General features: G+C 41.3%; 1 protein-coding gene across 11 annotated transcripts in view; it reads left to right on the forward strand.

Annotated features, from left to right (window-relative positions):
• The window catches only part of ATAD5 (ATPase family AAA domain containing 5), a 63,904-nt gene that overhangs the window by 6,523 nt on the left and 41,007 nt on the right, over positions 1 to 16,374 (forward strand). For 10 of the 11 annotated variants that reach the window (XR_001752632.3, XR_007065465.1, XM_011525269.4 and 7 more), the window contains exons 4-6: positions 2,129 to 2,293; positions 5,425 to 5,551; positions 6,347 to 6,428. Coding sequence is in view for 8 of the 11 variants with exons in the window: in XM_011525269.4 (XP_011523571.1) it covers positions 2,129 to 2,293; positions 5,425 to 5,551; positions 6,347 to 6,428 (374 nt within the window). In the remaining 3 variants the exon portion in view is untranslated. Of the gene's footprint in view, positions 1 to 2,128; positions 2,294 to 5,424; positions 5,552 to 6,346; positions 6,429 to 16,374 lie in introns of those variants that run through there. The other variant, XM_011525274.4, reaches the window with a different exon arrangement.

Below are 16,374 nucleotides of genomic sequence, written 5' to 3' on the forward strand. Positions count from 1 at the left end.
GGTGAGGAAACGTGTTTTTATTTGTGATTCTGGGAAGTGTCTTTCCTAGAGTTATACAACTACAAGCAGTTAGAAAGACGGTCTTTAGTCTTTTGGAAAACATGCGAGATGCCAGCTGATTGTACTACAGCTAAAGGTTGAAAGTCTCTTTGGTGAACTTTGTCCCACATATTTTATTCTTCTTGATTTCATTCTAGAGGACAGCTTCAACTTTAATTTTTTTAGAGATAATTATACCTTGGTTTGCCTCATGTACTACTTAAAATTGGGATTTAATAGTAAATTTTCCAGCAAGAGAAGTCTCAAAATTAAATGTATCCAAATTGGGACCTTTATCCAAACTTACTTAGATCAGTTATTTTATCTCATACTCTGTCAATGGACTTCTTACCACAGGGCCCTTGTTGTTCACTGAAGACTTATCCAGCCTTGTGTACTAGCTCTAGGAGAAAATCTTAGTAATTTTCTGGGTGAGATTTTTCTTTTTTATTTCTTTTTTCTTTTCGTTTGTTATTTTTGTAGAGACAGGGTCTTGCTATTTTGCCCAGGCTGGTCTCGAACTGCTAGCCTCAAGCAATCCTCCAGCCTTGGACTCCCACAGTGCTGTGCTGGTTGGTATTCAGGCATGAGCCACTGTGCCTGGCCAGATTTTTAATGTTTCTATGAGAATAAGGAGTAAACTGGTTCCCCTAAGAGCCCCATATTCATAACAGCTTATTGTTTATCCTTTCAGATAATAGTTTAATAGTTAGATTTTTTTCTCTCCAGATATTTTTTCTCTGCTTAAATAGATATATCTTTTTTTTTTTTCTTTTTGAGACGGAGTCTTGCTGTGTTGCCCAGGCTGGAGTGCAGTGGCACGGTCTCGGCTCACTGCACTCTGCTTCACGCCATTCTCCTGCCTTAGCCTCCTGAGTAGCTGGGACTACAGGCACCCGCCTCCATGCCCAGCTAATTTTTGTATTTTTAGTAGAGATGGGGTTTCACCGTGTTAGCCAGGATGGTCTCCATCTCCTGACCTTGTGATCTGCCCACCTCGGCCTCCCAAAGTGCTGGGATTACAGGCGTGAGACACTGCACCCGGCCATCTTCTTTTTTTTTTTTTTTTGAGATGGAGTTTCCCTCTTGTTGCCCAGGCTGGAGTGCAATGGCGCGATTTTGGCTCACTGCAACCTCGGCTTCCTGGGTTCAAGCGGATTCTCCTGCCTCAGCCGCCCCAAGTCGTTGGGATTACAGACGCCCGCCACCAAGCCCAGCTAATTTTTGTTATTTTTAGTAGAGACGGGGGTTTCGCCATGTTGACCCAGGGATGTCTGGAACTCCTGACTTCAGGTGATCCACCCACCTCGGCCTCCCAAAGTGCTGGAATTAGAGGCATGAGCCACTGTGTCCAGACTCTTTCTTCTTTATCATATATAAGAAGCTTGAGGCTGGGTGTGGTGGCTCACGCCTGTAATCCCAGCACTTTGGGAGGCTAAGGCAGGCAGATCACCTGAGGTCAGGAGTTTGAGACCAGCCTGGCCAACATGGCGAACCCCATCTCTACTAAAAATACGAAAATTAGCTGGGTGTGGTGGTGTGCACCTGTAGTCCCAGCTACTTGGGAGGCTGAGGCAGGAGAATCACTTGAACTCGGGAGGCAGAGGTTGCACTGAGCCGAGATCATGCCACTGCACTCTAGCCTTGGCAGCAGAGCTAGACTCTGTTAAAAAAAAAAAAAAAAAAAAAAAACAACCTTGAGGCCAAGGTCCATGTATTATAATACTGTTTTCTTTATAGTATCCAGCCTAGAGCCATTCATATAGTAGGCTGGGTAACTGTTTGGATTTGGAAAGTACTTTGCCTGAATTTGGTGACTAAAATTAAAAAATAGATTGCCAAGTCTATACTACAGACATCCTCTTGGGTGTTTTGCTCACATGTAAATATATTTACCTGGATGATTTCAAGTAAGAAATAAAGGCAAACTAATGATAACTAGACACATTTCAATTTAAGGCCCCTGGTAAGATTTGAATAACCATTTCTTTGTTGATTATTTAATGTGATTTGTGATTGTATTTTTTTCTATTATTAAATATAAAATATTTTCTTGTGATGTAAATTAATGTTTCAATTTTTTGTTTAGGCAAGCAATACTTCAAAAAACATATCAAAAGCAAAACAATTGATTGAAAAAGCAAAAGCTTTACACATCAGTAGGTCAAAGGTGACTGAAGAAATAGCGATACCCTTAAGGCGCTCCTCTAGACATCAGACACTTCCTGAAAGGAAGAAATTGTCAGAAACAGAAGTAAGTATTATAAATATCTGTTGGTATAAATTCTCTCCTATTTTGCTGTTTGGAGTGGGAGAAGGAAACCATTATAAAGTTATAAGGTAGGTTTGTGTGATAGCTTGAAGTGGTAGAGAGAATATCATTTTCAGTTTTGCTTTAAAAGCCTTCTGCTTTTTTTTGTCTGCAGAATACAGTTTGAATCCTTCTTAAGTCACTCAAGATCTTTCATAAGCTGAACTACCTCTTCCTTTTTTTTTTTTGAGACAGAGTTTCGCTCTTGTTGCCCAGGCGAGAGTGCAATGGCTGGATCTCGGCTCACTGCAACTTCTGCCTCCTGGGTTCGAGCGATTCTCCTGCCTCGGCCTCCCAAGTAGCTGAGATTACGAGTGTGTACCACCATGCCCGGCCAGTTTTGTATTTTTGGTAGAGACAGGGTTTCACAGTGATTGGCCAGGCTGGTTTTGAACTCCTGACCTCAGGTGATCCACCTGCCTTGGCCTACTAGGGTGCCAGCCCTCTTGCCTTTCTTCAAAACGACTCTTTGCTCTAGTCACACAGAATTGTTCATTTCTCCCTAAATGGTGCAGTTTTCACGGTATTTGTTTTATTGTTATCAGCTTGAAATATACGTTCCAAGTACTCTCTTCTATGTGAGGAATTCCTACTTAAACTTTGAGATCCTGCTAACTGCCAGTACCTCTTTCTAATAAAATAGTTTGAGATATAATTCATATACATGCATTTCACCATTTAAAGTGTACAATTCAGTGACTTTTGTATATTGGAAGAGTTGTGCATCCATTACCGTAGTCAATTTTGGAACATTTTCATTTCCCCAAAAATAGACTCTTTTCTTCTTGGTTGTCACCCCCCAATCCCCTCATTCCACCAGCCATAGCTAACTACTAACCTGCTTCTGTCTCTGTAGATTTGCTTGTTCTGGACATTTCATATCAATGGTATCATATAGCATGTGGTTTTTTGTGTCTGGCTTCTATTACTTAGGATGTGTTTTCAAGATTTATGTTACAGCCTCAGTATTTCTTTTCTTTCTGTTGCCAAATATCCCATTCATCACCTGATGGACATTTGGGTTGTTTTCACTTTTTGGCTATTCTGAACATTTTACCCCCTCCTCTTCAAAGCTGTGCTTGTATTCAAGACTCTTCTGGTTGAATATATAAAAAGAAAAATAAAAACAAATTAAAAAAATAAAATAATGGGATGGGCACAGTGGCTCACACCTGTAATCCCAGCACTTTGAGAGGCTGAGGCGGGAGGATCACGAGGTCAGGAGTTTGAGACCAGTCTGACCAACATGGTGAAACCCCGTCTTTACTAAAAATACAAACATTAGCCGGGCATGGTGGCGCGAGCCCGTAATCTCAGCTACTCAGGAGGCTGAGGCAGAAGAATCACTTGAACCCGGGAGGCGGAGGTTGCAGTGAGCTGAGACCACACCATTGCCTTCCAGCCTGGGTAACAGAGTGAGACTCCATCTCAAAAATAAATAAATAAATAAATAAATAAATAATAAATAAAATAAAATAGTGAAAATAATGAATACTGTGCTTGCTGATGCCTTCAAGACAAATATTTTCTTTCCTGATATGTACTTTTGTATATTTTTTTGTGTTGATGGTGCACTCACCATGCTGTATTATAACTAGTTAAACTATCTGCTCATGGGCTAGCTCTCCCTCTCTCCCCTACATTCAGATGTAACATTTGATGCCAATTCTTGAATTTTGTCTGTGTATTCCCAATTTCTTCTATATTGCTTCACATATGGTAAGTGCTCGGTAAATCTATGCTGATGACAGGAAAATCACAGACTTCATTACATTTCTAGGATGTACAGTTCCAACAGGGCTATAACCAGACTTTTTATAGCTTGGTCATATTGACTGTTTTATTTGGAGTACAGTCTGTTAGTTGCTTTTTAAAAATTTTCTGCATATGAATACCAGGTCATATGTTAGTTGCTTTATTTTTTAGACAGAGTTTTGCTCTTGTTGCCCAGGCTAGAGTTAATGGCGCGATCTCAGCTCACTGAAACCTCCACTTCCTGGGTTCAAGCGATTCTCCTGCCTCAGCCTCTCGAGTAGCTGGGATTACAGGCATGCACCATCACACCTGGCTAATTTTGTATTTTTAGTAGAGACGGGGTTTCTCCATGTTTCTCAGGCTGGTCTTGAACTCCTGACCTCAGGTAATCCCCCCTGCCTTGGCCTCCCCAAGTGCTGAGATTACAGGCGTGAACCACCGTCCGGCATTAGTTGCTTTTTCAAAAAAGAAAGCCTTTTTGGGCCTGGTGGCTCACGCCTGTAATCCCAGCACTTTGGGAGGCCAAGGTGGGAGGATTGCCTGAGCCCAGGAGTTCGAGACCAGCCTGGTCAACATAGGGAGAACCTGGCTCTGCAAAGAACACAAAAATTAGCCAGGTGTGGTGGTGTGCGCCTGTAGTCCTGGCTTCTTGGGCAGCTGAGGTGGGAGGATGGCTTGAGGTCGGGAGTTTGAGGCTGCAGTGAGCCATGATCATGTTACTGCACTCCACCTTGGGTGGCAGAGTGAGACCCTGTCACAATTTAAAAAAACACATGAGGCCAGGTGCGGTGGCTCACTCCTGTAATCCCCGCACTTTGAGAGGCTGAGGCAGGCGGATCACCTGTCAGGAGTTCGAGACCAGCCTGGCCAACATGGCGAAACCCCATGTCTACTAAAAATACAAAAATTAGCTGGGCGTGGTGGCGCGCACCTCCAATCCCAGCTACTTGGGAGGCTGAGGCAGGAGAATCACTTGAACACGGGAGGCGGAGGTTGCAGTGAGCCAAGAGTACACCACTGCACTCCAGCCTGGGCGACAGAGAGAGACTCCATTTCAAAAAAAAAAAAAGAATAAAAATAAAAAAGAAAGCCCATGGTCATAATAAACGTACCCTGATATCATATAAACTTGTTTGATGTAAGCATGGACTCCTGCTATTCTATTGTGTGTTTTCTGTTTCAATGAGATAATATCTGATGGGAGGTGTATGGAGCTGCTAATTATGTTTTCTGTGGTTTCTATCACTGTGATTCTTTTGAAATTTCAATGATATTAATTATATGATTTAATTAAAATTTATTCTCTTATTTTGTCTTAGGATTCTGTTATAATAATAGATTCAAGTCCTACTGCTTTAAAGCATCCAGAGAAAAATCAGAAGAAACTTCAGTGTTTGAATGATGTGCTAGGAAAAAAACTTAACACATCCACTAAAAATGTACCTGGTAATCAGAGTTAATAATATTTATGATGTATATTAGAATGTTTTGGGGTTTTTGTTTTGTTTTGTTTTTGTGTTCTGGGGTATTTATTTATTTATTTATTTATTTTTGAGACGGAGTCTCGCTTTGTCACTCAGGCTGGAGTGCAGCGCCGGCGGGATCTCGGCTCACTGCAGCCTCCACCTCCTAAGTTCAAGTGATTCTCCTGCCTCAGCCTCCTGAGTAGCTGGGACTACAGGCACCCACCACCATGCCCGGCTAATTTTTTGTATTTTTAGTAGAGACGGGGTTTCACCATGTTAGCCAGGCTGGTCTCGAACTCCTGACCTTGTGATCTGCCTGTCTTGGCTTCCCAAAGTGCTGGGATTACAGGCATGAGCCACTGCACCCGGCCTGTGTTTTGGGGTATTATTCTGAACGTGCTTATGATTGAAATTTAGTATCTTATGTAAAATTTTAACTGTATTATATTTCTATTTTAGTAAGTAAAGTTATGGTATAGTGAAGAGTTTTTCTTTTTTTTTTTTTGTGACAGAGTCTTGCTCTACTAAAATACAAAAAATTAGCTGGGTGTGGTGGTAGGTACCCGTAGTTCCAGCTACTCGGGAGGCTGAGGCATGAGAATCACTTGAGCCCTGGAGGTGGAGGTTGCAGTGAGCCAAGATCGTGGCACTGCACTCCAGCTTGGGCTACAGAGTGAGACTCCATCTCAAAAAAAAAAAAAAAAAAAAAAAAAGAAAGTAGCTGAAGGTGGAGATGGTAAACATTGATACTAACCCAAGTATTTATTTTTCTAAGGAAAAATGAAAGTCGCTCCTTTATTTCTTGTCAGAAAAGCACAAAAAGCAGCTGATCCTGTCCCTAGTTTTGATGAAAGCAGGTCAGTCCAATACAAATTTTTAAATGCCAAAATATTTTATAGAATGTATTTGTATTGATGTGTTTACTTTGATGAGAAAGCATGTGAATTATCATTTGAAGCTCTAGTAAGTCCAGTTTCAAAGTTGACAATATTGACAGTGCTGCAACTGCTATTTGAATATCTTGGTTTTTTGCAAGTGCTTTGGCCATCGCTAGACAAAACAGAAAAATAAGCAAACCAAAAATACAAAAAAGCTGATAATGAATTTTATTCAGTAAATATTTAAATACCTACTAGTATGTACCAGGTACTGTTTTTGGTATCAGAGATATTATGGGGATAAGACAGGACACATTCCCTGTCCTCCTGTGGCTTAAGTGGAGATGGAAGATGGTCTATGATTAAACATTCATTGGGTCAACAAATGAAAAATTGCAGTTGTGCTAAGGAGAGGTATAATTCATATTGAGGAGGGTTGGTCTGATTAAAGAAGACTTCAATGAGGAAATGATGTCTGAACTGAAATCTGAGGGATGAGCAGGAGTTCATCAGGAGGAGGAACTGTGTTTCAGCCAGAGAGAACTGTCTATGTAAAGTCTCTGTAGCTGGAAGGAACTTGCTAAATACCAAAAACTGATAGAATGCTAGTGTGACTAGAGCACAGAGAACAAGGGTGAGAGGTGGGTGCCAGCCAATGTAGGACCTAGGAGGCCATGTTAAGGGATTTTATCATTATATTAAGAGCAAATAAGAAGCAGCCAAAGGGTTTTAAACATAAATATAGACCTAAACAGATTTGGATTTTAGAAGTTTAATTGGCCTGCTGGATAAAGAATGGAATGGAAGAGGGGTTAGAGTAGATGTAGGAGTCCAGGTATTGTGAGATGATGGAGGTAAGGACTAGGTTGTTGGGAATGACATATGAAAAGATTTTAGGAGATGAATTAAAAATCCCTCGATGATTAATGAGATTTGTGGGAGTGAGAGTGTGGGAGAGGAAGGTATAGGATGACATGTAAGTTCTAGTTTATGCGCCTGGGTGGCATGATGGAAGGTCAGGTCTAGGAGCAACATGGGTTTAGATTATCTTTTTTTCTGTTCAAGTTTTACTGAGGTGTAATTATATATTGTTAAGCACACATATCTTAAGTATGCAGTTTTGACAAGTGCATCTTATCAAGAAATAACAATCTTCTTTTTAGCTCAGAAAGGTTTTGTGTGCTCTTTCCTATTATCCCCACCACCACCATCACCACAAGATTACCAAAATATTCGATTTCTATTTCCATCAATTAGTTTGATTTCTATTACCATAGATTAATTGTGTCTATTCTAGAACATCACATAAACTTCATATATATATTATTTTGTGTCTGGCTGCTTTTGCATAGTATACACGCCCACAAACAAATGCACACATACATATTTTTAAATCAACTTCATTCAGTTATATTGTCCATATAATAATATGTGCCCATTTTAAGTAAAGAGTTTGAGGTTTTTTTTTTTTTCTTTTTTTTTTTTAGACGGAGTCTCACTCTGTCACTAGGCTGGAGTGCAGTGGCGTGATCTCGGCTCACTGCAACCTCTGCCTCCCGGGTTCAAGCGATTCTCCTGTCTTAGCCTCCTGAGTAGCTGGGACTACAGGCACGCACCACCATGCCCAGCTAATTTTTGTATTTTTAGTAGAGATGGGGTTTCACCATGTTGGCCAGGATTGTCTCGATCTCTTGACCTTGTGATCCGCCTGCCTTGGCCTCCCAAAGTGCTGGGATTATAGGCGTGAGCCACCGTGTCCAGCCAACAGTTTGAATTTTTCTCTCTTTTTTTTTTTTTTTTGAGACGGAGTTTCGCTCTTGTTGCCCAGGCTGGAGTGCGATGGTGTGATATCAGCTCACCGCAACCTCCACCTCCCAGGTTCAAGTGATTCTTCTGCCTCAGCTTCCCGAGTAGCTGGGATTACAGGCATGTGCCACCACGCCTGGCTAATTTTGTATTTTAGTAGAGATGGGGTTTTTCCATGTTGGTCGGGCTGGTCTCTAACTCCTGACCTCAGGTGATCTGGCCCCCTCAGCCTCCCATAGTGCTGGGATTACAGGTATGAGCCACCGTGCCTGGCCCACAGTTTGAGTTTTGACAAATGTACATACCTGTAATTACCACCACAATAAAAATATAGAACATTTTCATCACTCTCAAAAAAAAGTCTTCTTGTGCCTCATTGCAGTTAATTTCTGCCCAATCCCATGCAATCTCTTATCTGCTTTCTGTTGGTATAGACTAGTTTGCCTTTTCTAGACTCTCATATAAATGAAATCCTGCAGTAGGTATACTTTTGTCTCTAGTTTCTTTGGCAAGGTAGCATATCAGTTGTCTGTTCTTTTTCGTAGTTAAGTAGTACTCATATGAATATGCCGCTATATATATATAGAGAGAGAGAGAGAGAGAGAGAGATGGAGTCTTGCACTGTCGCCCAGGCTGGAGTGCAGTGGCGCGATGTCCGCTCACTGTAACCTCCGCTTCCTGGGTTCAAGCGATTCTCCTGCCTCAGACTCCCGAGTAGCTGGGATTACAGGCATCCGCCACCACGCCTGGCTAATTTTTTGTATTTTTAGTAGAAACGGGGTTTCACTATGTTGGCCAGGCTGGTCTTGAACTCCTGACCTCGTGATCCGCCTGCCTCGGCCTCCCAAAGTGCTGAGATTACAGGCATGAGCCACTGTGCCTGGCCTACTGCAATATTTTTTATTTATTCTTTATTAATGGGCATTTGGGTTATTTTCAGTATTTGGCTATTATTAAATAGACTGCTATGAACATTTTTTTTTTTTTTTTTTTTGAGACAGAGTCTCACTCTGTCGCCCAGGCTGGAGTGCAGTGGCACAGTCTAGGCTCACTGTAACCTCCGCCCCCCGGGTTTATGCCATTCTCCTGCCTCAGCCTCCCGAGTAGCTGGGACTGCAGGCGCCTGTCACCACGCCTGGCTAATTTTTTTGTATTTTTAGTAGAGATGGGGTTTCACCATGTTAGCCAGGATGGTCTCGATCTCCTGACCTCATGATCCACCCACCTCGGCCTCCCAAAGTGCTGGGATTACAAGCGCGAGCCACCGCGCTCCGCCTGACTGCTATGAACATTCTTATACACATGTATGGACAAGTGTTCTCATTTTTCTTGGGTAAATAAATACCTAGAAGTGGAATTGCTCTGTCATTAGGGAGGTACATGTTTAACATTATAAGAACCTGGCAAACTGTTGTCCCAAGTTGTTGTTCGGTTTTACACTCCCACCAGCAATGTATAAGCGTTCTGGTAGCTGCCTATCTTTGATAACACTTGGCATTATCAGGCTTTTTTTTTTTTGAGACGGAGTCTCACTCTGTCATCCCCAGACTGGAGTATAGTGGCGCAATTACAGCTTACTGTAGCCGTGACCTCCAAGGGTCAGGTGATCGTCCCTCCCACCTCAGCCTCCCAAGTAGCTGGGACTACAGGCATGTGCCACCATGCCCCACTAATTTTTTGTATTTTTTTTTCTTTGGTAGAGACAGGGTTTTGCCATGTTGCCCAGGCTGGTCTCAAACTCTTGGACTCAGGTGATCTACCCACCTTGGCCTCCCAAAGTGTTGGGATTACAGGCGTGAGCCACAAGGCAAGGTCAATTCTATCAATTCAAAGTGTGTATTTTGGTGAGCTTTGTCAGTTGTACACCCAGTGAAACCACCATAATCAAGATACCAAGTTATTTCCATTGCCTGCCTCAGACTTGTCATGCTCTTTTGTAGTCTGTTCTCTAAGTGGCCCCAACCCAGGCAAACGCTAGTCTCTTTTCTTTATACTAATTTATATTTTCTAGAATTTTATATTAATGAAATCATATAGTATATGCTCTTTTGTGTCTGGCTTCTTGTAGGTGGCATGATGATTTTGAGATTTATTCATGTTGTCAAATATATCATTAGTTTTCTTTTTCTTTTCTTTTTTTGTTTTGAGACAGAGTCTCGCTCTGTCGCCCAGACTGGAGTACAGTGGCATGATCTTGGCTCACTGCAGTCTCCGCCTTCCGGGTTCAAGTGATTCTTGTGCATCAGCCTCCTGAGTAGCTGGGACGACAGGCCTACGCCACCATGCTCGGCTAATTTTTGTATTTTTTGTAGAGGCAGGGTTTCACCATGTTGGCCAGACTGATTTCGAATTCCTGACCTCCAGTGATCTGCCTGCCTCGGCCTCCCAAAGTGCTAGGATTACAGGTGTGAGCCACCGTGCCTGGCTATATTTTTGCTCAGTAGTATTCATTGTATGGATATACCACTTTTTGTCTCTCCATACACCTATTAATGGACATCTGGATTGTTTCCTTTTGTCTTTTCCCTCCACTATAAGAGATGGAGTCTTGCTGTGTTTCTCAGCCTGGCCTTGAACTCCTGGGCTCAAGCAATCTTCCTTCCTCAGTCTCCTGAGCAGCTGGGACTCAAACGTGCACCGCTGCACCCAGCTGTTTGCAATTTGAAGCTATTGGGAATAAAGCTGCTATGAACATTCATGTATAAGTCTTTGTGTGGATATACATCTTCATTTCTCTTTTTAATTTTATATATTTGAATGGCTATGTAGTCATATCTCATAGTTTTAATTTTCATTTTTCTCATGTCTACTGATGGTGAACATCTTGTGATTATTGGCCTTTTGTATGTCTTCCTTAGGGAAATCTTTTGCCCCTTTTCTTACTGACTTGTCTTTCTTCTTGTTGAGTTGTGAGGATTCTTTATATATTCTGACTACATGTCCTCTGTCAGATACATGTTTTGCAAATATATTACCTTGCCTTTTTATTTGTTGTGTCTTTTGAAGTACAGAAGTTTGATGACGTCCAGTTTATGGGTTTGACAAACCTAACATTTAAAAGACACAAAGAACCTAGAATAGACAAGATAATCTTGAAAAAGAAGAAAAATTTGAAGGCCTCTACACTACCTGATTTCAAGACATTGAACAAACCTACAGTAATAGAAGTGTGTTGTATTGGTATAAGAACAGAAAAATACCAGCCTGGGCACCACTGTGGGACTCCATCTCTTTAAAAAAGTAAACAACTAGCCAGGCATGGTGGTGTATGCCTATAGGCCCAGCTACTTGGGAGTCTGAGACAGGAGGATCACATGAGCCTGGGAGGTCATGGCTGCAGTGAGCTGTAATCATGCCACTGCACTCCAGCTTGGGTAACAGAGCAAGATGCGGTCGCTAAAAAAAAATTTTTTTTTTGCTCTTCTTCAAAATTTGAAAATATATAATAAATTTTTGTTTATTATGGTGACCATATAGTACTGTAGAACACTAGAAGTTATTCCTCCTATCTAGCTATACTTTTATATCTGTTAACCAACCTCTGGCTATGTCTCCCTCTCCCCTCCCCTCTCCCACCTCTATTAACCACTATTCTACTCTCTACTTCTATGAGACTTCTTTTTTTTTTTTTTTTAAAGGCAGCAACTTGCTCTGTTGCCCAGGCTGGAGTGCAGTGGTGTGCTCACAGCTCACTGCAGCCTCAACCTCCTGGGTTCAAGTGATCCTGCCATCTCAGCCCCTCAAATAGCTGGAACCACAGATGTGCACCACCATGTCCAGCTAATTGTTTTTTTGGTAGAGACAAGTTGTTGCTGTGTTACCCAGGCTAAGGTTAACTTTTTTAGTCTCCACATAAGAGTGAGAACATGGGGTATTTATCTTTCTGTGTTCAGCTTATTTCACTTAACGTAATATCCTCCAAGCTCTAAGACATCTCTTACTAGAGGTCCTGGATAGTTCAATTAGGAAAGAAGAATATATAAAAGGACATAAAGGTTTGGAAGGGGAGAAGTAAAACTATCCTTATTTGCAAATCATATATTAAAAAATCATTATTTTAAAGAAATTATTATTTATATTTATATATTTTTATATATATATATATATATATATATATATATATATATTTTTTTTTTTTTTTTTTTTTTTTTTTTTTTTTGAGATAGAGTCTTGCTCTGTCAGCCAGGCTGGAGTGCAGTGGCACGATCTCGACTCACTGCAACCTCTGCCTCCCAGGCTCAAGCAATTCTCCTGCCTCAGCATCCCGAGTAGCTGGGATTACAGGGGTGTGCCACCACACCCCGCTAATTTTTTTTTGTATTTTTAGTAGAGATGGGGTTTCACCATGTTGGCCAGGCTGGTCTTGAACTCCTGACCTCAGGTAATCCACCTGCCTCGGCCTCCCAAAGTGCTGGGATTATAGGCGTGAGCCACCGTGCCGGTCTCTAAAAATATATATTTAAAAATTCTGAGCTGGGTGCGGTGGCTCACATCTATAATCCCAGCACTTTGGGAGGCCAAGGCGTGTGGATCACGAGGTCAGCAGATCAAGACCATCCTGGCTAACATGGTGAAACCCCATCTCTACTAAAAATACAAAAAATTAGCCAGGCGTGGTGGCGGGCGCCTGTAGTCCCAGCTACTTGGGAGGCTGAGGCAGGAGAATGGCGTGAACCTGGGAGGTGGAGCTTACAGTGAGCCGAGATCCCGCCACTGCACTCCAGCCTGGGCAACAGAGCAAGACTCTGTCTCAAAAAAAAAAAAAAAAAATCCTAAGGGTAGGCCAGGCATAGTGGCTCACACCTGTAATCCCAACACTCTGGGAGGCCGAGTTGGGCAGATTGCTTGAGAGCAGGAGGTCAAGGGTCAAGACAGGAGGACTGCTTTGGAGTGCAATGGCACTATCTTGGCTCACTGCATCCTCCGCCTCCCGGGTTCAAGTGATTATCGTGCCTTAGCCTCCCAAGTAGCTGGGATTACAGGTATGCACCACCACACCTGGCTAATTTTTGTACTCTTAGTAGAGACGGGGTTTTGCCGTGTTGGCCAGGCTGTCTCAAACTCCTGGTCTCAAGTTATCTGCTCGCCTCAGCCTTCTAAAGTGCTGGGATTACAGGCATGAGCTATCTTGCCTGGCCTCTTTTGCTTTTTTAAAAATAGAGACTAGATCTTACTATTTTGCCCAGGCTGGTCTTGAACTCCTGGCTGGGGTTACAAATGTGAGCCACCCACCTGGCCAAATGCCAAAATCTTGTTTCTCATCAAACCTGCAATTATGGGCCTTAATATTGACGAATTCCAATGGAATTAACCACATGATGATGGTTTCCAAATGGCAATTCTCTATTGCAGTCATTCTTTCTTTGTTAGTTGGCTGCTATAAGAGCTTTTTTGTCTCCTCAGTTTATCTATTTATTCACTTATTTCTTCATTTTTATTATATTCAGTGGATTGTAATCCATTCATATTAGTTATTTTGATGCTCAAATTGTTTTTAATTTGGCCAGTGTGAGCTCTTCAGCTTGGTTTCTATGTCCCTTTGACATGTCCTCATAATTTATGGAGCATTTCTTAATTTCTGGAACAGGAAGATATTCTAGGCTTCTATTTTACTTGCCTTGTCTCAGCTCTGCAGTTAGCCATTTCTCTGTGGACCCCTGGTTCCTTTTCGTGGAGGATGGTATTTAGAGACGAAGGTCTAGCATTAAATTCATTGCTCCTGATGTGGCAGTGCTTCTAGGCCTTTTCAGTAGATAAAGTTAGGATACTGTGTTTGTCTGTTTTGCATTCCCATAAACGAATACCTAAGACTCGGTAATTTATAGAGAAAAAGAGGTTTATTTGGCTCACAGCTCTGTAGATTGTACAAGCATGGTTGTACAGCATCGGCTTGGCTGTTAGTGAGGCCTCAGTAATCTTCAACTCATGGCAGAAGGTGAAGGGAGAGCAGGCCTGTCACATGGCGAGAGAAGTGGCAAGAGAGAGGAGGAGGTACCAGCCTCTTTTAAACAACCATCTCTCGGGTGAACTAATAGATGGAGAAGTTACTCATTACTGTGAGGACAGCACCAATCCGTTCATGAGGGATCTGCCCCCATGACCCCAAACACCTAGGCCTGCCTCCAACATTGGAGGTTATATTTCTTTCTTTTTTTTTTTTTTTGAGACAGAATCTCCCTCTCTTGACCAGGCTGGAGTGCAATGGCATGATCTCGACTCACTGCAACTTCCGCCTCCTAGGTTAAAGCAATTCTCCCTGCCTCAGCCTCCCGAGTAGCTGGGATTACAGGCGCCTGCCACCACAGCCAGCTAATTTTTGTATTTTTAGTAGAGATGGGGTTTCGCCATGTTGGCCTGGCTGGTCTTGAACTCCTGACCTCAGGTGATCTGTCCATCTCAGCCTCCCAAAGTGCTGGGATTACAGGCATGAGCCACTGCGCCTGGCCTGTATTTCAATATGAAATTTGGAGGGGACACACATCCAAACCATACCAGCTATATATGTATGTATATGTGTACACACAAACATTTAAAACTATTTATATGTGTGTAATATATGTATATGCATGTAATATATATGTAATATATGATACATTATATATAATATGTATATTTTTTATTAGTACCTTGTACCCCTCTCCTTAACACCTACCTTCTGCTATAGAGACATACTAATTTAACTACAACTTTACCCATCTTCCTCCTTCCCGCCAATTAACAGTTAAAAAAAATACACTTCTTCTTTTCTAAAAAAGAAAAGAGATATCTCATTTAGTATCTATCTGGCTTCATAGCTTATTTTCCCTTCATTTCACTCAAAGAGGAAAAGAAAACAGAAATACAGAAAAAGTTTTTGTAGTCTCTTTTGAATTACCAGCCCAAATATCTAATTGCACAGAATATTGTGAGTCTTGTTCTTTCTACAGGCAGGCTAGGAAGGACATATAAGCTGTGACACACCATCTTCCACTACTCCAACCTCCCATTCTCCCCACCCTTTTGCCTCTGTCCCACTCCTGCCACTGTAGTCAGCCTCCCTATGATTTGCAATCTGAAGATAAACTGGGCAAAACTGAGACAATAATAAGGACCCTACTCTTCCTCCTGTTACATTGGGAACAATATTACATCAGAAGTTCTTGTATTAACTTTTTGAAATATGACAGTGATTTTTTTTTTTTCTGATTGTTTAGCAAGAAAACAAAAGACAAGAGGGAAAAAACTCACCTACCACCCAAAGATAGCCCCTGTTAACATTTTGGTGGATGTCCTTTAAGTCACTTTTTTCTATACATATTTATTTTTATTTAATTTCTTAACATGGGTAGACTTTCATTTTTGTGATGAGCAAAAAAGAATTTGATCAGCTAATATTTTAGGTAATTTTATTACCTAAATGTATTAAATAAATTTTAAAAATTAATATTTGTCAATATCTTATATAAAATCTAAAACAAAATTTTTATATAATTATATATAAATTATATAATTATATTTTATAGATAAAGCTAATATTTAAGCATTTTATATTAATTACCTAATATATATTTTATATTTAGGTAAATTTATTACCTAAAATACTAATTTATTGAATTTATTTAATACATTTTATTAAATTAATTTAAATTTTTTTTTTTTTTTTTTTTGAGATGGAGTCTCCCTCTTTCACCCAGGCTGGAGTGAAGTGGCATGATCTCGGCTCCCTGTAACCTCTGCCCCCTGGGTTTAAGCCATTCTCCTGCCTCAGCATCCTGAGTAGGTGGGATTACAGGCACCCGCCACCATGCCCGGCTAATTTTTGTATTTTTAGTAGAGATGGCGTTTCGTCATGTTGGCCAGGCTGGTCTCAAACTCCTGACCTCAGGTGATCCACCCTCCTCGGCCTCCCAAAGTGCTGGGATTACAGGCGTGAGCCACCATGCCCTGCCAATTTATTTAATTTTTAAAAATTAAATTTAAAGGTGTTTCTTCTCTTTTCTGGTTTTTGTTTTGTTTTGTTTTGTTTTGTTTTTTGTTATTTTTTGAGACAGTCTCACTCTGTTGCCCAGACTGGAAGGCTAGATAGAGTACAGTGGCGCGATCCTGACTCACTGCAACCTCTGCTTTCCAGGCTCAAGTG

This window comes from Homo sapiens, chromosome 17 (assembly GCF_000001405.40).
Source record: "Homo sapiens chromosome 17, GRCh38.p14 Primary Assembly".
Lineage (NCBI taxonomy): Eukaryota > Metazoa > Chordata > Mammalia > Primates > Hominidae > Homo > Homo sapiens.